Raw genomic sequence first — 21636 nt, 5'->3', positions numbered from 1 at the left:
ATAATTGATAGACAAAGTAAATAGAAAAACAATAGCAATAGAAAACATGAACAAGTTACAAAAAACCAGTTATAGAAAACATGAAGAACACTATCACCCAATTTGACTCATTACGTTTTCTAGAACAATATTTCCCAAAACAGCAGAATACACGTTCTTTTAAAGTACACATTGAACATTCACCGTCTCTGATCACAACAGAATTAAAATAGAAATTAATAACTGAAGATATATGGAAATCCTCAACCATTTGGAGTTTAACAACATAACTACTAAATAACCCGTTGGTAACAGAAGAAATAACTAGGGAGACTTAAAAAATATTTGAACTGAACGATATGAGCCTACACTTTACTAGAGAAGCCTCTAATTACCTTCTTTAATCAGCCGAGGGATCAGAGAAGGCTATTTTCTCTCTTAACTTGTTCACTAGCCCATTTCATGTACCCTTCTCCCCAGGATAAAACAGAGGAACAGTGTTACTTAGGTCCTTAACACCTAGTAGTAAGGATTACTATGTATCAGGCAGTGAGCCTGCGCCAGGTACAGTGCTAATTACTTTACCGACATTATCTCATCCAATCCTCACAACATTCCACTGAGATGGGAGGTCTTGTTACACATTTTGCAGGTAAGGAAATGGAAGTGCAGAGAGGTTGACTTGTTCAGATCACAAAATTAGTATCCTGGTGCCAACATTCCAGTCCAAGCAGGATGACGCCGGAGCCCACACGTTTGACACCATGCCATACCAGCACCACAAAGGGCATCGCACAATTCTAGGGGAAAGAAGGAGGGCTATTTATATTTTATGTACTAGGTTTTGGCTACAAAATTCCCTCTTATTAAATCATAGTTTTAGCTACTTTCCAAAAACCACGACTACCTCTTTCTGGTTTGAAAAAGAAGCTTGGAAAAGTCTCCACTATGCTTACTTACTACAAGACCTCAAGGACTGGTTAAGATGAGTCATCCGCAGCTTGAAAAGCAATGTACTTGGAACTAGAAGACACTGATTATCAGCTCTGTTGCCTCAGGCAAGTCACTTCTCTGGGCCTCGATTTCTTCATGTGTAAACCAGGGAAAACAATAACTAACTATAAGGAATATGTAAGAAAACATAAGTGGAAGTGGTTTGTAATCTGAAAAATAATATATGAATTTGAAGGAACTTTTTATGTTTACTGAGGGAGGACCATTTAAAAATGGATTTGATATTACTTATATTAATTTAAAATTTAAGCAGCAAGATCTGATCATTCACTGTGTTTACTGTCAATGATGACTTATATAACACTTTCACTTCTGAATAAGAATTTTGGTATAAAGATTTATTTTCTTTGAGGGTAAAGTTTAAAAAGACTAGAGAGTACTTAAGCTGCCAGCCTTTGCCCTGCTTATACAGAGTGCTGGCAACAGAGGCTGATGCTTCATAAAAATAAACCTTTAGAAGTTTGTACATATACCATAACACTATGCATCAATATTTTTAAAATGTACACCTCTTAATCCAGTAATTTCACTTCCAAGAATTCATCTTATGGATAAACATTTGTTTATCTAGCATGGTTTTTCATAATGGAAATCTGGAAGCAACCAATTTAATAAGTATGGCCATTTGATAAAACACTCTATGGATGATAAAAAAACTATTCTGTAAAAGATTGGTTTCTTATTTACCTGAGAAATTATTAATTTGGGGAAAATAAGTACTAAAAAGCAAAGTTTTAAAAGGAGGCTACAAAAATAGAATGACCATCAGCAATTGATCCAGCAATTTCACTTCTGGGTGTATACCCAAAAGAATTAAAGGTAGGGTCTTGAGGAGATAATTTGTCCACACATGTTTATAGCAACCAACAATAAAAACAACCCAAATGTCCATCCATAGATGAATGGATGAACAAAATGAGGTACATACATACAATGGAATTTAATTCAGCCTTATAAAGGAAGGAAATTCTGATACGTGCTACCACATGGTTGGACCTTGAGAACATTATGCTAAGTGAAATAAGCCAGCTACAAAGAAGACAAATACCGTATTAGTCCACGTGCATGAGGCATCTAGAGCAGTGGAATTCCTAGAGGCGGAAGGTAGAACAGCGATCGCTCGCAGCGGGGAGAGGGAGGAATGCAGAGACACTGTTTAATGTGTGTACAGGTTCAGTTTTGCAAGATGAAAGAGCTCTGGGGATCGGGTGCACAACAATGGGAATGTACATAACACTGCTGAACTGTACACTTAAAGATGGGTAAGGCCCAGCGCGGTGGCTCACGCCTTTAATCCCAGCACTTTGGGAGGCCGAGGCAGGTGGATCATGAGGTCAGGAGTTCAAGACCAGCCTGGCCAAGATGGTGAAACCCCATCTCTACTAAAAGTACAAAAATTAGCCAGGCATGGTGGCAGGCACCTGTAATCCCAACTACTCAGGAGGCTGAGGCAGGAGAATCTCTTGAACTCGGGGGGGCAGAGGTTGCAGTGAGCTGAGATCACGCCAGTGCAGCACTCCAGCTGGGGTGACAGTGAGATTCTGTCTCAGAATAAAAAAAAAAAGGGTAAGATGGTGTATTTTATATCTATTTTACTATAATTTAAATTTTTTTTAATTTACAAAGATAATGAAGAGTTAATGAGGCAGATAGGAAGGAGTGTTTTAGGCCCCCCAAAAAATGATGTTAAAAAATATGGCAGCACGGAAGAGCATGGTACATTCCGGGAACTGGATAGGAGTTTTTACGGCTGGATGTGCCAGACAAGATTGGGACTTTATCTAGAGAAGCAGCATTGAGTTGATTTGCTTAAGGTCACTCATGAAATTGTGGGCAGAACACCGACAGGATCACTCAGACCTGATTCCCAGCTTGGAAGGTGTATGTCTGTGTAGACATGTGATGTATGTTTAACAATCATCATAAATGGGAAACATCTAAATAAAACGCCGGTATCACAACATTTAACATTTGACGCATTAACTGAGTTGTAACATACATCTTCCCGGGGGTAAATATCCCTTGTATAGATCCTTAATTTTCTGTCATTATCATGCACCAAGCCTTTTTGAAGCTATAAAATAAATGTAAATTCCTTAAAAAAAGCAGACTACAAAATAACATGTATGATACTATTTTTCTAAGAAACATATATATATATATATGCATGGAAAATACTAGACATATCTACAGCAAATGTTAGTTGGCTGTTATCTTTGGCTTGTGTGAGTTTGGTTAATTTTTTTTTTCTTAGTGCTTTTCTGTTTTCTAATGTTTCTTCACTGAGCACATAAACTAGAAGAAAATATTAAAGAAAAAGGAATTCTTAGGTGCACCCCATAAAATGGCAGATCTTTAAAGAATGCTTTGGTAATGGTGTCAATCACTTCTTTTGATTCCAAGAAGTAATAATCCTCATATAGGTGAGCTTGGATCTGCAGAAGGAGCTGGAAATGTCAAGAGAGTGGCTGTTAACCAGGAGAGCCCCAGTCCTTACTACCACCTTCTTCCCTCTCTTTTTCTCTTCCTCACTGTGCCATCCATCCCTGTTAGTCTCCTTCTCAACTAGGGTGACTTTCTAGTAACCCAACACTTGTTTGATGGGCTCGCTCCCCAGACAGCCTTATGCCAAGGTGTTTAAATACCCTAGGAGCAGTATGCTGGGAACTGGAAGGTTTCTCATGAATGGGGCCATCTTAGAGAACTAAATTCAGCTTAGAATTCACTGTTTTACAAAATGAGGTCATTTTGCCTCAAAGAAATACAAAAAAAACCCTCAGAGACTATCACCAATACTTCTATGCACACAAACCAGAAAGCCTAGAAGAAATGGATAAATTCCTGGAAACATACAACCTCCCAAGATTAAGCTAGGAAGACATTGAAACCCTGAACATAATAAGTTCTGAAACTGAATCAGTAATAAAAAGCCTACCAACCATAAAAAGCTCTGGACCAGATGGATTCACAGCCAAATTCTACCAGACATATAAAGAAGAGCTGGTACCAATCCTACTGAAACTATTCCAAAAAATTTAGGAGGAGGAACTCCTCCCTAATTCATTCTATGAGGCCAATGTTATTCTGATACCAAAACCTGGCAGGGACACAACAAAAAAAGAAAGCATCAATATCCCTGATGAACAGAGATGCAAAAATCATCAACAAAATACTAGCAAACTGAATCCAGCAACACATCAAAAAGCTAATCTACCACAATCGAGTAGGCTTTATTCCTGGGATGCAAGGTTCATTCAACACATGCAAATCAATAAATGTGATTAGAACCAGAAATAAAGCTGCACACCTACAACCATCTGATCTTTGACAAAGTCAGCAAAAACAAGCAATGGGAAAAGGATTCTCTATTCTATAAATGGTGCTAGGGTAACTGGCTAGCTATATGCAGAAGATTGCAACTGGACTCTTTCCTTTCACCATATACAAAAATCAACTTAAGATGGATTAAAGACTTAAGTGTAAAACCTAAAACTATAAAACCGTAGAAGAAAACCTAGGAAATACCACTCTGGACATAGGCACTGACAAGATTTCATGATGAAGATGCCAAAAGCAATTGCAACGAGAACAAAAATTGACAAATGGGACCTAATTAAACAAAAAAGCTTCTGCACAGCAAAACAAACTACCAACAGAGTAAACAGACAAACCTCCAGAATGGGAGAAAATATTCGCAAACTACTCATCCAACAAAGGTCTAATATCCAGAGTCCGTTCTTCCAGAAGGAAACAATAGACACAGGGGGCCTACTGGAGAGTGGAGGGTGGGAGGAGGGTGAGGATCAGAAAATTATCTATCGGGTACTATGCCTGTTACCCAGGTGATGAAATAATCTGTACACCAAACCCCCAGGACAGGCAATTTACCCCTGTAACAAACCTGCACATGTACCCCTGAAGCTAAAATAAATGGGGGACGGGGGGCAGGAAAAGAAGATGAAGAGAGAGAGAGAAAGAGACAGAGGGCTTATTTAAAGAAATAATTCCTGAATACTTCCCAAATCTGGGAAAAGATATAAACATCCAAGTACAGGAAGATCAAAAGTCTCTAATCTGATTCAACTAAAAGAAGACTATACCAAGATATATAGCAATCAAACTGTAAAAAAAAAACAAAAAAAAACAAAAACAAAGATAAAGAGAGAATCCTGAAAGCAGCAAGAGAAAAAAGATCACCCCTCATAAGGCTATCAGTGGGTTTCTCAGCAGAAACTGCAGGCCAGGAGAGAGTGAGATGAACGATCTGAAAACTATAAAACATTGATGAAATAAATTGAAGAAGACACAAATAAATAAAAGATCAATGAAAAATTAATGAATTAGAAAAATTAATATTGTTAAAATGTCCATACTTTGGTCATTGCTAAATGCCCAAAGAGATCTGTAGAATTAATGCAATCCTTATCAAGAGTCCAGTAATATTTTTACAGAAATAATTTTGAGCAAAAAGAATAAAGCTAGAGGCATCATACTACCTCATCTCAAAATATACTGTAAAGCTTTAGTAATTTAAACAGCATGGTACTGGCATAAAAACAGACATATTGACCAATGGAACAGAATAGAGAACCTGGAAATAACTTCATATATTTACAGTCAATTGATCTTTGACAAAGTTGCCAAGAAGACACAATGTGGAAAGCACCGTCTCTTCAATAAATGGTGTTGGGAAAAGTGGATATTGACACACAGAAGAAAAAAATTGCACCCTTATCTCATACAGTATATAAAAAACAAATCAGAAAGGATTAGACTGAAGAGCTGAAACTGGTAAAACTACTAGAAGAAAACATGGGGAAAAGCTCTATTACATTGATCTGAGCAATGACTTTTTTGGATATGACCCCCAAACCATAGGCAGAGTAGAATGGTGGTTGCCAGGGGATATGGTGTGTGTATGGAAAATGGGATAACATTGGCCAAAGGATACAAACTCACAGTTAGACAGGATGAACAAGTATTTTACAGCACAGTGACTATAGTTAATAATAACTTTGTGGGCCGGGCGTGGTGGCTCACATCTATAATCCCGGGACTTTAGGAGGCTGAGGTGGGTGAATCACAAGGTCAGGAGTTCAAGACCAGCCTGACCAACATGGTGAAACCCTGTCTCTACGAAAAATACAAAAATTAGCTTGGCGTGGTGGCACGTGCCTGTAACCCCAGCCACTCGGGAGGCTGAGGCAGAAAAATTGCTTGAACCCAGGAGGTGGAGGTTGCAGTGAGCCGAGATTGTGCCACTGCACTCCGGCCTAGGTGACAGAGTGAGACTCCATCTCAGTAAATAAATAAATAAATAATAGCATTGTGTAGACTTGAAAATTGCTGAAAGAGTAGATTTTAAATGTTCTTGCCATCAAAAAATGATGAACATGTGAGGTTATGGATACTTTAATTAGCTGAAAGTAATTATTTCACAACTTTTAGATCTACCAGGATATTACATTGTGAACTATAAATATACGTAACTTCTATTTGCCAATTATATCTCAATAATCCTAAAAAATAAAATACAGGAGAAAAAAGTTGCACTACGTTTCGAAAGCTTATCCACATTGTTTAATGTAGCTCTCTGTCATCCTTTGTTGGTAATGTGACATTCCATTGTGCAAATATATATAACTTATAAAATATTTTTTAAATGAGGTCATTTTGGAGAAGCTCAGGAGGAAGCAACAAAAAGGGAGGGAGAAATGTCAAATGATATGAGAACTTAAGGGGGAAAAGGGAAGGAAGAGAAAGATGAAGGCTAAACCATTGTGTAGGAAGACATTGTCAATGCTTCAGCAGGGACTTCAGTGGAGGTGCTGAATACAGCTTCTGACGGTAAAGGTCATGATGCCATCACATGCAAATGGAGAGACAGACTCCTCATCTCAGAAACCAAAGAAATCTAGACTCCTAAATCTGTAATAGCAGGAAGAACCCTCACTGTAACAGGCTTGCCTCTGAATTTCCCAGGCCTCATTGCTGCCTTTCATTCTCCTCTTCCCAGTCTGGAAACGTATTTCCACCCTTCTTCCTTTGACTGCTTTATCAGACCTTCAGGGCTCAGCCCAGGGCTTCCTCTCTTATTGCCTATCAAGTTAGACTTAAATTATCTGTTTCTATGGACCTCCTTCATTTAACTCTAAGTTTCTTGAAGGCAAGAGCTGTGCCATATTCATCTTTGTATTCATCTGTGAATAGATGGTATTAAATATTGCTTGAACTGAACTGAACTGATTGAAGAATTGAGCCTTTCTTGTTCTTAAGGCTTTCACATTTCCTACTTGAAAGCGAGCAATTTTTTTTTTTTGAAGTGTTTCTCTCTTGTTGCCCAGGCTGGAGCGCAATGGCATGATAAGCAATCTTTTCATTGATAACTAAGCTTGGTGCATTGACCAATCTCTAGAGCCTCTGGAGACCCAGGCTCCCTCTACAGCCACCAAGGGCATTATCCATCAGCATTATCCTCAATAGCATCCTATATGGACAGGAGGGATTTCCTTGGGGCAGAGGGACTGATGCAGTAATGCTGCTGCTAATGCTCGCTCTGGACTGGCTAAAAGAGTTTGTTATTCGTGCAATAAAATCTCTGATCTAATCACGTCCCTGGAAAGCTATCTTTTACATTAAAGAAGACTGGAGTCAAGGATTTTAAAGTGCCGGGCACGATGGCTCACACCTGTAATCCCAGCACTTTGGGAGGCTGAGGCGGGTGAATCTCCTGAGGTCAGGAGTCCGAGACCAGCCTGGCCAACATGGCAAAAAATTAGCCGGGTGTGGTGGCGGGTGCCTGTAATCCCAGCTACTGGAGAGGCTGAGGCGGGTAAATCTCCTGAGGTCAGGAGTCCGAGACCAGCCTGGCCAACATGGCAAAAAATTAGCCGGGTGTGGTGGCGGGTGCCTGTAATCCCAGCTACTGGAGAGGCTGAGGCAGGAGAATCGCTTGAACCCAGGAGGCGGAGGTTGCAGTGAGCCAAGATCCCTCCATAGCACTCCAGCCTGGGCGACAGAGTGAGACTCCAACTCAAAAAATAAAAAATTTAAAAAAAAATTTTTTAAAGCAATCTTCTCCTAAGGAATGGTGATTTCTGGAGTAAAAACTTTCTCTGAATAGGAGTTTCCCTTGCTCACTCCTGCACCAGCCTTCTCTCCATGACCAAATTCATAAGGCACTCAGCAAGACTCTGTGCTCAGAGCCCAATTGCAACACACAGTACAATTATGCTGACCATGCCAAATACTTTGGCTTTGGAGAATAGATCTATTAACCCCAGCAACGTGGTTGTGTTCCTCAAGCGATCCTAGCCTAAGAAAAGACATGTGAATAGCCTGACCTCAGAGTCACCCTGGCCTGAGCTTGCCCTCAACCTGATCTGAACTTCCTGGCACTTGGGACCAGAATAATAGCAGTCACACCTGAGTTTCCAGTATAAGGTCACAATGCAAAGAAGAGAATCAAAAACACTGGTCCGAGAAGATCTTCCAAATCCCTTCCTAAATGAAGTGGTTAGATCAGAGATTTATGTTTGAGTTTTTATTCTCTCCTGATTTGTTCACAATTAACTTGCAAAGCTGTGTTAATAGGCAGCTTCATGAACAGAGATCCCAGAGGTTAGAGACCAATAAGAATTGTACAGTATTGCATCATTTCCTTGGGAAATTCTTCAAATTAAGCCACTAGCTGCATTCTTTTCTGGCTCAATTTAGGGTCACCAAACCATAGAAAAGAATGATTCACCAAACAAACTTTTGCTTTTCCTTTTCTGGTGCTTCATTTAACCGCTTTATGCCTCAGAGTAAAGCTATTATAATGGCATTATCCTTCTAATGAGGAACAGTGCAATGCTTTCCTGATGTTAATACCCAGAATTATGCAGTGTTTAAAAGCCACCGTGACTTTAGGGAATACTCACTAAGTTTTCTATTGCAAATACCCTAGTCATATTGAAAATGAATGAGTGTAATTCTTTTGGTGTTTTTAAAAAACGTACAATTCTTTTAATAAATCATAGTTCCCAAAAGGAATAAGAATGGTTCATTAGCAGTACTAATGAAAATTCCATCTTCAGTAAAACTTAGCAGAATATCATTCCCTGTAACAAAATGTTTTCAGACACTTTGTTTGCCAACTTTATTAATGGAGAACTTTGTGGTCTAGATTAGAAAACTGAAGATAATTGAGAGAAAGAGAAAGAAAGAGAAACCATCCTAGACAAGCAGTTATATGTATCATTTAAAAAATAATGGCTCAAACAATAGTGTCACAAATCTTCAGAGGTAATGAGAAATTTTTAAAAAAATTAAAAAGTGGCATAAAAAACATTGTTCTTAGTAAAATTCTTTTCCAGGCATTATATTTATTGCTGAGGTGTTCTCTTCATCCACTCGTTCGTGTTTAGCCAAGCAACCTTGAGAAGTTCGAAGTTGTTTGCCTGCTACAGACCATAAACAAAGACGGAAGATTTGAATTTTCAAGTCCCAAGGCTTCAGCTTTGCAATTTCCTTCTCAGACAAATTTTCCTAGAGAAATAGAATTTGTTTTAGTTCCTGGCTCATAGTAGTTGCATCATACAGATTAGTTTACTGAATGACCTGATGAATAAGGCTTTTATTAAAGTAGCAGACTAAACAATTTTTCTGTCTGTTTTTAGGAACTTTCCCTGTCTGTGGAAGTAAGTGATGACCACCTGAATGAGAACAGAGGCTATTTATACAGAGCTTGCTATAGCGAGGGAGTGAGCACCGTCACTTGCATTTGGCAGAGGCTCAAAGGCAGGCAAGGGAGTAGGAAAGCTTTATAATTAAAAGAAGAGAAAAGGAGATCCTCAGGTATGGAAAAGCTGGAGGCAAGATAACTAGAAGCAAGGCATTTTGTATGATTGATTTAGGGAGAATACTTGCCTTTCTCTGATTGGCCTTGAGTTGAAAGATGGTAAAAATTAGTGAAGCTGGGCCGGGCGTGGTGGCTTACGCCTGTAATCCCAGCACTTTGGGAGGCCGAGGCAGGCGGATCACGAGGTCAGGAGATCGAGACCATCCTGGCTAACATGGTGAAACCCCGTCTCTACTAAAAAATACAAAAAAAATAGCCGGGCGTGGTGGCGGGTGCCTGTAGTCCCAGCTCCTCGGGAGGCTGAGGCAGGAGAATGGTGTGAACCCGGGAGGCGGAGCCTGCAGTGATCCGAGATCGCGCCACTGCACTCCAGCCTGGGCGACAGAGTGAGACTCCGTCTCAAAAAAAAAAAAAAAAAAATAGGGAAGCTGGCAGTCATTGACCAAGTTCTGATTATTTTAGGCCAATTACTGCAGTGGTTGTTGTCTGATTTCCTGGGTTGCTTGCTGCAGAGGTTGTGGATCACAGAGTTCTGTTGTCATATATGGTCTGGTGTGTATTCAGTCTTTCATCATATATAGCAATTTCTTGAATTACTTTCTCATCCCAATCCCCCTTGACATTTCAAAATGTAGTGGCACGCAAAGTGACTTGCCAACTTGTTTAAATCCATTCGTTTTTGTTTGTTTGTTTTGAGAAGGAGTCTCGCTATGTCGCCCAGGCTGGAGTACAGTGGCGCAATAGCTCACTGCAACCTCTGCCTGCCGGGTTCAAGCAATTCTCATGCCTCAGCCTCCTGAGTAGCTGGGATTGCAGGTACCTGCCACCATGCCCGGTTCATTTTTGTATTTTTAGTAGAGACAGGGTTTCACGATGTTGACCACGCTGGTCTTGAACACTTGACCTCAGGTGATCCACCTGCCTCAGCCTCCCAAAGTGCTGGGATTACAGGCGTGAGCCACTGTGCCTAGCCTAAATAGTGATTTTACATGGAGTTTTGTCATTAGGAGGAGGAAGAAACTTGACTTTTTCACTCTAAGGGGATCTTCTATTTGTTTCCAGGAATTTTAGGGACTCACATACATATTAAATTTGGAAAGGTTCTGAGAAGTAATTTTAAAATTGTCTATAGGCAGAACCACATTTAAATCTTCCTAGTGAGGCTGGGTGCAGTGGCTCATGCCTCCAGACCTGGCTAATTTTTGTATTTTTAGTAGAGATGGGGTTTTATCATGTTGACCAGGCTGGTCTTGAACTCCTGACCTCAAGTGATCCACCCACTTCAGTCTCCCAAAGTGCTGGGATTACAGGCGTGAGCCGCCATGTCCAGCCTCAGGTTGAAAGCCTTCTCATAATGTGTGGTGACCCTTGGTTGGCTCCTCCTGTTGAAAGCTGAGCTGATTGGAGGCTCTGTGTATATTTGAGATATTTGAGAGGCTCATTGATTGGTCTGCATTCTTTTTTTCTGACAGATTCTCACTCTGTTGCCCAGGCTGGAGTGGAGTGGCTCGATCTCAGCTCACTGCAACCTCCGCCTCCTGGGTTTAAGTGATTCTCCTGCCTCAGCTTCCTGAGTAGCTGGGACTACAGGCACCCACCACCACGCCCTGCTCATTTTTGTATTTTTAGTGGAGATAGGGTTGCACCATATAGGCCAGGCTGGTCTCGAACTCCTGATCTCAGGTGATCCGCCCACCTCAGCCTCCCAAAAGTGCTGGGATTACAGGCCGTGCCTGGCCTGGTCTGCATTCTTGAAGGGCAATAAAATGACCAGCTTGACATTTTTTTTAAGCAGCTTTATTGAGATATAACTCACACACCATACAATTCACCCATTTAAACTGCACAGTTCAATGGCTGTTAGTATATTCACAGAACTGTGAGTCCAAAACCACTGTTAATTTTAGAACATTTTTATTAAAATAAAAAAACCTCATTCCTTAGCCCTCACCTTCCAACCCCTTCCATCCCATGCTCCTCAACCCTAGGCAACAACTAATCTACTTTTTCTCTCTACAGATTTGCCTTTTCTGGATATGTCATCTAAATGGAATTTGCAGTATGTGGTCTTTTGTAACTTGCTTCTTTTACTCAGCATAATGTTTTCAAGGTTCACTCATGTCATAGCATGTATCAGTACTTCACTTCTTTATTTTGCTGAATAATATTATGTTACATGGGCGTACCAATTTTATTTTTCCATTTACCAATTCATGGGTATTTGCGTTGTTTCCACTTTCTAGCTATTACGAATAATGTTGTAATGAATATTTGTGTATAGACACGTGTTTTCAGTTGTCTTTGGTGTATACCTAGGAGTGGAATTGTCACATCCTATGGAAATTACATGTCCAAGTGTTCAAAAAACTCCCAGACTGTTTTCCAAAGTGGATGCACCATTTTACAGTCCCAGCAGCAGTGTATGGGGGTTCTGATTTCTCCACATCCTTTGCAGCACTTGTTATGATGGTAACAGCTGTGTCTTTTTGATCAGAGCCATCCTTGTGGGTGTGAAGTCTACCTCACTGTGGTTTTTATTTGCATTTTTCTGATGGCTTAGGCTTTCGTTGTAAGCCTTCCAACTATGAGTATCTACTGATCTTTCTGAGGCAATTCCATTTTTCTCTCTGAAGGGTACTCCAGCTATGGCTAGCAGGAAGAAGGAGGTGGGTGTGAGGGAGTTATCTCTGTTCAATACACAGATTTTCCCTTAGTTTCCTGTACTATAATGCACCACCATCTTCCTCTGAGTCTAGTAGTTCCAAATCTAAAACTTCTCTTATTCTCCAATAAATCAAATTCTTGCCTTTTGGAGGAGTGAGGGAAGATGGTCACCGGTCTGAATATGTGGGAGCCTGGGCATCTAAATTCCTTTTTTTTTTTTTTTTTTTTTTTTGAGATGGAGTCTTGCTCTGTCACCCAGGCTGGAGTGCAGTGGCACAATCTCAGCTGACTGCAACCTCCGCCTCCCGGGTTCATGCGATTCTCCTGCCTCAGCCTCCTGAGTAGCTGGGATTACAGACGGGCACCACCATGCCTGGCTAATTTTTGTAGTTTTAATAGAGATGGGTTTCACCATGTTGGTAAGGCTGGTCTCAAACTCCTGACCTCAAGCAATCCACCTGCCTTGGGCTCCCAAAGTGTTGGGATTACAGGTGTGAGCCACCGCGCCTAGCCACTCTTCTTTTTATTAAGGATGGAGGAACAAGTTTCTCTTTGTTCTAATATTTTTGGAGTCTTTTTCCAAGAGAAAAAAAGAATAGAGATACAGCTTTATTCTGCTCTTTTGAACCCAAGCTTCTCCAAATTATTATGGTAGCATTTCTTATTAAATATTTACTTCTCTCTTATTCTTAAATTGCTTTGTTCATCTTCATTAGTAATTGGTAAAGGCCCATCCCTTTTAAATTTTTGACTCATTGTCTCCTACTCCCTTCGAGCTTGGCTTTGTTTATTCATGTGGTAATTTGCAAGTTGAAATGATATCCAACTTGGGAAAATTTTGCAGGATTTTTAAAAAGCATATTTGGAAAAGTTTCTTCAACTGCCGCCCAATTTATTTATAAAAGGCAGAAGATGCTTTAATCACAAATATTTAATCTCAGTTGATAAAATTGTCTTGGGAAGAAATTAATTTAATCTAAAGAAAATTTAAATAGAAAGCAAGATTTAAATGATTCATTATCGTTACCGTTCTTGTGAGTGTAAAATAGAAGAAAATAATAAAGGAATTTAGGGTTATACAACATGAGGAATAGGAAAATGACAGCCCTAGTGAGTGTCACTTCCCAAAAATGAAAGACTGGCACACAGGTCTTTGTTTTGGAAGGTTGTGGCAGTTTTCCATCCTAAATGAGATTGGTCACTGGACACAGTCCACATATAATTATGAAGAATCTTCTGGCTTCTCCACTTACCAGAATTCTATTCAGGTCATATCTCAGAAATGGAATACAAATGACTTCCTAAAATTCTAATAGCATTTCTTCAAATTCCAATTAAGTTTCCAAGTTTATCTTCTCTACCTACATAAGGATAATCTGACTGAAGGGCCCTGGCCAAAGCCTTCTGTGAACAGACAATGGTCATTCTCTTGGCAGGGGGTGGGGTGAAGAGGTTGTTTCATGTAAGGAGATTTTAGTATAATCCTGAGGATTTCCATATGGGATCCTACGGTTCTGTCAATACCACAAGTTCTTCAAAAGCAGAAAAGCAAATTTGGTTAAACTTAGAAACGTATCTCTAGAAAAGATTACTAATTTCTCCTTACCCCCAGCCCCTTCTCTCTAAAAGAAAGATGGATGGTTCTGGAAATGTCAGTAGCTTTCTGCCATCAGGGAAAAGTCCTCTGATAATTGTGTGCCGACGTTGTCTGGGAGCTCTTCTGGAGCTTACTTTACGTGCTTCTCAAACATGGGGATGGGAGTTGATGGGATCTGAGGGCACTTCCAGTTTGGATGTCCCGTCATCCAGAAAACCTCTCTCATACTTAAGGAAATGAAATGAAGGAGAGAAGGAAGCTACAGGGTATTTTAAATATATACCTTTGCATTAAAAAGAAACCCAAAAAACTCCGAAACAAAAAACCAACCCGTTTAGTTATAACATACCACCAGGGTGCGGATATGCATTTCTTCAAGGCCCTATTTCCATCAAAACTGTCTCCATTGTTAAAGGCATTCAAATATATGACAAGTACACTGTACAACAGACTAGCCCATGACTTGTGCCTTATTTTATCTGAATCTCACTCAGCCTCTCTCTTTTCTCTTTCGCTTAGTCTTTCTCTATCTCTGTCTCTCTCTCACACACATATACACCACTCTGTGCCCAGTGTTTTTTGTTTTGTTTTGTTTAATTTAGAAAAGGAGCCAAGTAGAGAAAAAGCAGCATAGATTAATCGAAGAAACAATGAACTAATGTTCAGCCCAGCTCCAGCCAGCTGTGGGGTCCTAAACCAAGTTATCTCAGTTTCCTCTTCCTCTGTGCTCTCCTTTGCAAAGTGGGAGACCATAACCAACGAGTTTATCTTATCGGTTGCTGTGGACCTGCAGTGAGTTAAATCTGCCTTTGAACACTGTATGAGAGGCTATACCACTCTCCGGATAGACCAGTTTACACGGGAGGCAGTTATTAGTCCTATGCTGATTTAGTACTCCATTATACCACACTCCAGGAATCTTAGGGTGGCTCTTCCATTAAAAAGCATTAATTCAGTGCCTAACTACCTATCATGGAGATGGTCAACTGTCCACATTTTAAAGGGAATTGGTTTCAACCTGTAGCTTTTATTCTGTTAAGAATTATCTATGAGAAAGAGATCAGTCTTGGTACCACCAAAACTGGGTAGAACGAATTCTTGATGTAGACTAAAGGGTGCTAATACCATTTCAGTATTCAGCAGGGACTGAGGTTTCAACAGCTTAGAACTGTGGTCTCAGAGGTCACGTGGTTCAACCTTATGTCCTGGGTATCTACCACCCTCTGACACAGAATCCTTGCTGGCTTCATTCAGCACCTTCCTGATTAAAAAAAAAAAAAAATTTCCACTACCTTGAGGCAGCTCTTTGGAATTTTGGACAGTTTCTGACAACTCATGTTAAGGAAAAACTTCCTGTGTTTGTCCATTGGTTGAATTTTCATCCATTGACTGTACTTGCCCACTGGGTACACAGAATAAGCCTGTTTGATGACTGCAGCTCCCTGGAGACTTCTGTTTTTCCAATGAAATGGCCCTAGATTGTACAGTTGTTTCCTGATTGCTGTGGTTACTCTCTTCTTTCCACATGCTGGTTTGTTCAGATTCCTTTAAAAGCGTGCTGCTAAGCAATGCCCCCTAGGCTCTCATGGAGGTCTGACCAATATGTCCACTTTCAACATACTTGACACTGTTCCTCTTCCTGCAGCCTAAGCTGGCATAAGCTTTTTTGACAGCATTAAATCCTTTCCTTTTAGTGATTGCCTTGGCACAGGCAGCATGCTGCTACCCTGCTGGAGTGAAAGCAAAAGATGCAGCGGAGTCTGGCAGGACCTGGACACCTTCATAGATTTATAAGCTGGGGCCTAGATGGAGGAGAAGACAAAGACAGAGATGTGAAGCTGCAAAGGTGGCTTGGGCAGGATGGTTGGGAAGGGAAGGGTTGGAACTTAGAGACAGTATCTTTGACATTGACTCTCTGACATTTCAATAAAAGAATGGGAAATCTGAGCCTTTCCCCATGGTCTTTGACTCCGAAGCCTTTTAAGCTCTTCAAAAGGCAAGTTAACTTGGAGCTGGAAAGTGAACAGCTTTACCTGCTAGTATTTTGTTGAAGTAACTTCTTCTATTCGTCTATCTAACTATCGATAGACAGACAGATAGGACAGATATAGATAGATAGATAGATAGATAGATAGATAGATAGATAGATAGATGATAGATAGATAGATAGATATAGTGTGTGTGTATATATATATATATTTAATGAGGAAGTTGGAAAATTAGATCCAATATTGTGTCCTATTCAATGGCAGCTGCTCACTGCACAAAGTAAGGAAAACTTTGAGGAAATAAAAGTTGCTTAGAAAAATCCAGATGTCAGGGCTGGGTGCAGTGGCTCACACCTGTAATCCCAGCACTTTGGGAGGCTGAGGCGGGTGGATCACGAGGTCAGGAGATCGAGACCATCCTGGCCAACATGGTGAAACCCCGTCACTACTAAAATACAAAAAATTAGCTGGGCGTGGTGGCACATGCCTGTAGTCCCAACAACCCAGGAGGCTGAGGCAGGAGAATAGCTTGAACCCGGGAGGCAGAGGTTGCAGTGAGCCGAGATCGTACCACTGCACTCCAGCCTGGCAACAGAGCAAGACTCGGTCTAAAAAAAAAAAAAAAGAAAAGAAAAATCCAGATGTCATTGCTTTGTATGTTGTGATGATGTGGTAGCCAGCTCCAAGAAGATGGCCTCCAGTGAGTCTTACTTTCTGGTATTCATATCCTTGAGGCTGATCTAAGTAACTGATCGGATATTATGGAGTATGCTATGGTCTGAATGTTTGTGTCCTTCTTAAATTAATACGTTGAAATCTTCACCTTCAAAGTGATCATATTAAGAGATGAGGCTTTTGGGAGGTGATTAGGTCTTGAAAGTGGAGCTCTTCTAAATGGGATTAGAGCCTTTATAAAAGATGCCAGATAGAGCTTGTTAGTCCCTTGCACCATGGGAAGATGTAGCAAGAAGGCTCCATTCATGAGGAATGGGGCTATTACCAGACACTGAATCTCTTGGTGTTTTTTTTTTTTTTTTTTTTTTTTTTTTTTTTTTTTTTTTTAAGACAGAGTCTTGCTCTGTCGCCCAGGCTGGAGTGCAGTGGCGCGATCTCGGCTCACTGCAACCTCCGCCTCCCGGATTCAAGCAATTCTCTGTCTCAGCCTCCTGAATAGTTGATTACAGGTGCCTGCTACCATGCCTGGCTAATTTTTATATTTTTAGTAGAGACGGGGTTTCACAATCTTGGCCAGGCTGGTCTTGAACTCCTGACCTCGTGATCCACCTGCCTTGGCCTCCCAAAGTGCTGGATATTACAGGCATGAGCCACCGCGCCTGGCCATTTTTTTTTTTTTAATTTTTATTCTCATGACTGTTAGATCACATCTGATGGTGTTTTGATCTTGGACTACTTAGTCTCTAGAGCTGTAATACATTCCTGTTGTTTATAAATCACCCAGTCTAAGGTATTTTGTTATAGCAGCCCAAACAGACTATGACAGAGTGTCACTTTTGAGACTAAGTGATGAAAGGCATTGTGGCTTCTTCTGTCTCGCCATCTTGAATCACTTGCTCTGTTGGACGTCAGCCGCTACGTCATGAAGACACTCAAGCAGCCCTATAGAAAGGTCTTCATGGTGAGAAATTGAAGCCTCCGCCCAATAGCCAGCATCAACTTACTAGCTATGTGAATGATCCATGCTGAAAGAGCCTCCCGTAGTCCCCCTGAAGCCTTCAGATGACTGCAGCCCTGGCAGGCTTCTTGACTGCAACATCATAATGCCCTGAGCCAAAACCACCCAACTATGCCGCTCCTGAATTCCTGACACACAGAAACTGAGATAATATTTATCGCTGTTTAACTTACTAAGCTAATAAGTTTTAAACCCTTAAGCTTTGAGGAACTTTTTTTTTATCCAGCAATAAGTAACTAATAAAGATGGGTAGAAAGGAGGAATGAAGAGTAAAGAGCCTTTATTCATTGTTCATATATGTTCATTTGCTAGGCACTTGCTGCCGGCACCTTAGGCTAAGGGTAGAACAAGTGCTGGGTTCACTGCTGCTTTTGTACACCGCTGACAACCAAATAGGGCTGTCACACAGAATGACAAGAAAAAAGGACACGTCCTCTTTCCTCCCCTTCCTCCTTTTTGCTTTTAGGGGAAGGCTAGGATGACATTGAGAACTCACACAAATTTTGTTTTTGACTCCTCAGTGTCCCCTGGGAAAAGGTGCATTGGCCTTTGTGTACTTGCTACAAGGCTGTGTATCCTTGAGAGCAGGACTCGGATCTTATTTATTTCTATCCCCGTTTCCTAGCAAGTGAACATATATGAACAATAAATGTTATCAAGGGAGAGGGCAAATTTCCCTCCCTGTTTCTTCTGAATTCTGAAGAGATTCCATTGTTAGAATGGTTTCTTACTGCAACCATCCCATTCACAGTCCATCAGCGAAGTCTTGAGAGTATGATGCCTGTCATGAGCCACTTTCACTACTAAATAAATTCCGTCCCTCTGTTAAGTTCCCGGCTGTTAGGACACCTCTGCCTTCAGCACCGTTTGACCCTTCTATCCCATTTTCTCTATGCAATGTTGCTTTAACTGTTGTTCAAGATCCCAGGATGCTTGATCCGGGAAAGCACAGAGGTCTGCTGCCAACATACCAACATACCTCTCTGTCAAGTTGTCCAAAATCACAAGAGAAAGAGCCCTGGACTAGAGCTAGGAGACCTGAGTTCTCGGCTGCTCTGTTACTGATTAGCGTCTATGTCCTTGGACAAGTTGCTTCCCTTTTTCCGGACCTCGGTTCCTTGTCCTAGATAGGTTCTAAAGTCGGTGGGTCCTTACAGTAAGTTAGGATTCTAAGGTGCAATCCAAAAGTAAAACCAGTGGTCAGTATACCTCTGAGTAGCTGTTAAGGTTACAATACGAGGTTCCTCGGCCTTCCCTTTGGTAGCCAATGGATACGGCCTCAGTCAGAGGCCGTCAGGTTTACTGGGAAGAGCCTTCCGGTTTTGAAAGACAGGATCTCCGGGTTTCCAGTTCTGTCACTCACTCGGGGTAACTTTGGGCAAATTCTCTCTGGACCTCCTAATAGGGAGGTCCTCGTCACCCCGAGGAAGTTCGAAGACGTGGGCAGTGACTTGGAAAGCTTCCCGAGATTCCCCTTCTATAACCTGGGTGGCTCAGACCGGGAGCGGGGTCCCAGCCGGCCGGTAATTCCGCCCGGAGGTGCGCACGAAACAAACCTGCAGCGCTGGCCGAGGGCGGCTCAGCTTCGGAGGGCGCGACTCCGGGTGAGTTCTTAAAGGGACCGTCAGAGTTTGGGTAACACCTGCGATGCTGACCGGGCGGGGACGCAGGCTTGAGGGAAATGAATGAATGAATGAATGAGCGAATGAATGAACAAACCTTCTCTGCCCACCCTTAAGTATACCATACTCGGAATTAATCAGTTAGGCTTAAAAATCTTGTACTATAACCCTCAAACTCTTGCCAAGTTAACCAGTGTCTCTATTTCATATGTCCTTCTGTAATGAAACCCCTCCCCCCAAGCCTATTACTAAGGGACGAAGAGTAACTTAACAATCAGCCTGGAGTGGAAGGCAATGCAGAGTTGGCACCCCTCCCCGAACTCCTCCCTCTCCCTCTCCCAGGCCCCGCCCTCCCCGCCCCCTGGGAGGTGCAGTTGGCTCCTCCTTAAGGCGGCTTTTCCCCGGTGGGGATCTACCCCCGGGGTCGCCAGGCGCTGTCTCTGCCGCGGAGTTGGAAACGGCACTGCTGAGTGAGGTTGAGGGGTGTCTCGGTATGTGCGCCTTGGATCTGGTGTAGGCGAGGTCACGCCTCTCTTCAGACAGCCCGAGCCTTCCCGGCCTGGCGCGTTTAGTTCGGAACTGCGGGACGCGCCGGTGGGCTAGGGCAAGGTAAAGGCGGGCTCCTCCAGGGCCACCCCGGGCCACCTGTGGAGTCCGAGTGTTAACTCCTTTGTTCTCAGAGCCACTTCAGCGGCCGCCCTTTTAAGCGAAGAGGTTCCCTTAGGATGCTCCCCGGGTACCCCTTCCGTTCCCCTGCCCTCCCCCGACCCGCCTCCCCCTTCCAACCCGAAGGTAGCAGCGCGGGGAGCCCGGGGCTCGGCGCGAGCCGCCTCCTCACTTCCCATTGGCTGAGAGCGCCGGGAAAGCGGTCACGTGGGAGCGCGGCAGGCCAGCTCGGGGGCCGCCATCTTGGCGGAAAGTTTCGGGGGAGAGCGGTTGGGGGCGCGGAAGGAGGCGAGGTTCCGGGGGTGGGGCGTGCGGCAGCAACTGGGCGAGCGGGCCGGGGGGCCGCGGCGAGCGAGGAGGCGGCGCGGCCGAGAAGGAGGACGAGGCCGCGGGGGTGCGGCGGCCCAGGGGAGCTCCTCCCCCGTCCCTTCGCCCCCTCCGCTCGGCTCCGCGGGCCCCGGGCGGGGCGGGGGTACGTGGAGCGGGGCCGGGCTGGGGAGCTGCTCCGAGTCTGGCCGGGGCGCACCCCAGTTCCGAGCGCACGCCGCTCACCGGAACTTTGTGGCGGCGCCGCAGGTGTGGGGGCCCGCGGAGGTGTGCATGCGGGGCGCGAGGGCGTCGCGGAGAGCGGCCGCTGCCCTGTCCGGCCCCCGCTGGAGCAGCCCGGAGGCAGCGAGCAAGGAGAAAGGCAAGCGAGAGGAGGGGGCCCGAGCAGGGCGGGCGGCCAGTCCCGCTGGTCCCCTCTCAGCGCTCTGCGGCCGCTGCTGGCTCAGGGGCCAAGGGTCGGAGCGCTTCACCCGCCCGTACCCAGTAGCAGGTGGGGAGTGTGGATACTTGTGCGGGGGAAGAGGCGGCCTCAGGTCTAGGCTCTTTGGGGAGGGGACGCTTTCGAGGAGAGTTTGGAAGCCGACTTCTGTCTGTTCTTAATTTGGAGGGGTACCCACTCCAAGGAAAAGCTTTCCACGTTGACAGACAACTGCTGCGTTTTGAGACTCTTTCTTTGACTTGGTAAAACTTTGGAACGTGGGGTTTTCAAATAGGCTGCGAGGGTTTTCTATTTCGATAGGGGAAAATGCTAGTTTAACATGATTCTATCCTTTTTCCTTTCCGTTGTGTGTTTTAAAGGTGTGTGCCCTCTTCCTGATTCTGGAGAAAAATGCCGGTCCGGAAGCAAGGTGAGAGTTTATTCCGTAACTCTGTTGTCGATGTCACTTGCTTTTCCGTGTGTCAGTTTTTTGATTGCCGTTTTAGAATCGTTTGTGTAACTTTGATGAGACAGCACGGTCCTAGCTTTATTGCTTAGGGAATCTAAGCCTCATATCATTTCAGAAGATGGAAACACGAAAATGTTTGTTAAACTTTCTTAACATTTCTCTAGTGATTAAGAGAGGCAGTTAGCCCCCCCCCAACAGATGTCCTTAATAACCCTGAATTGGTGTTTTAGTATTTCACTCTATCATTCTTACTAAGCACTATTCTGTAAGCAACTGTGGGATACTAAGAATTTGTATTTTGAAATGTTAAAAATTTGGATTATGATGACAAATTGTAGATAATCTGCTTTTGCATTA

At 42.9% G+C, this 21636-nt stretch overlaps 1 protein-coding gene and 1 long non-coding RNA gene across 38 annotated transcripts in view, besides 2 other annotated features; one reads left to right on the top strand and one right to left on the bottom strand.

Moving 5' to 3' along the window:
• Positions 1-14674: 14674 nt before the first annotated feature.
• Positions 14675-20179, bottom strand: DLG1-AS1 (DLG1 antisense RNA 1). Its single transcript, NR_038289.1, has 3 exons — positions 19816-20179; positions 19334-19448; positions 14675-15898 (listed from the first exon to the last, which is right to left on the bottom strand). It is a non-coding gene; the product is annotated as a DLG1 antisense RNA 1 (long non-coding RNA).
• Positions 19105-21636, top strand: part of DLG1 (discs large MAGUK scaffold protein 1) — a 256762-nt gene continuing 254230 nt past the window's right edge. For 15 of the 37 annotated variants that reach the window (NR_158764.1, XR_007095643.1, XR_007095642.1 and 12 more), the window contains exons 1-2: positions 20291-20753; positions 21191-21240. Coding sequence is in view for 33 of the 37 variants with exons in the window: in NM_001366216.1 (NP_001353145.1) it covers positions 21222-21240 (19 nt within the window). In the remaining 4 variants the exon portion in view is untranslated. Of the gene's footprint in view, positions 19382-19813; positions 20009-20290; positions 20883-20944; positions 21074-21190; positions 21241-21636 lie in introns of those variants that run through there. The other 22 variants (NR_158765.1, NM_001366219.1, NM_001366212.1 and 19 more) reach the window with 6 other exon arrangements.
• Positions 19638-19767: a silencer, noted in NCBI's record as "silent region_15087". NCBI's record gives its function as "represses an Ori minimal core promoter by ATAC-STARR-seq in GM12878 lymphoblastoid cells {active_cell/tissue: GM12878}" and the evidence as "EXISTENCE:reporter gene assay evidence [ECO:0000049][PMID:35858748]".
• Positions 20258-20887: a silencer, noted in NCBI's record as "silent region_15086". NCBI's record gives its function as "represses an Ori minimal core promoter by ATAC-STARR-seq in GM12878 lymphoblastoid cells {active_cell/tissue: GM12878}" and the evidence as "EXISTENCE:reporter gene assay evidence [ECO:0000049][PMID:35858748]".

This window comes from Homo sapiens, chromosome 3 (assembly GCF_000001405.40).
Source record: "Homo sapiens chromosome 3, GRCh38.p14 Primary Assembly".
In the NCBI taxonomy this organism is placed as follows: domain Eukaryota; kingdom Metazoa; phylum Chordata; class Mammalia; order Primates; family Hominidae; genus Homo; species Homo sapiens.
The sequence above is the reverse complement of the archived record's forward strand: the minus strand, read 5'-3'. Positions and strand labels throughout refer to the sequence as shown.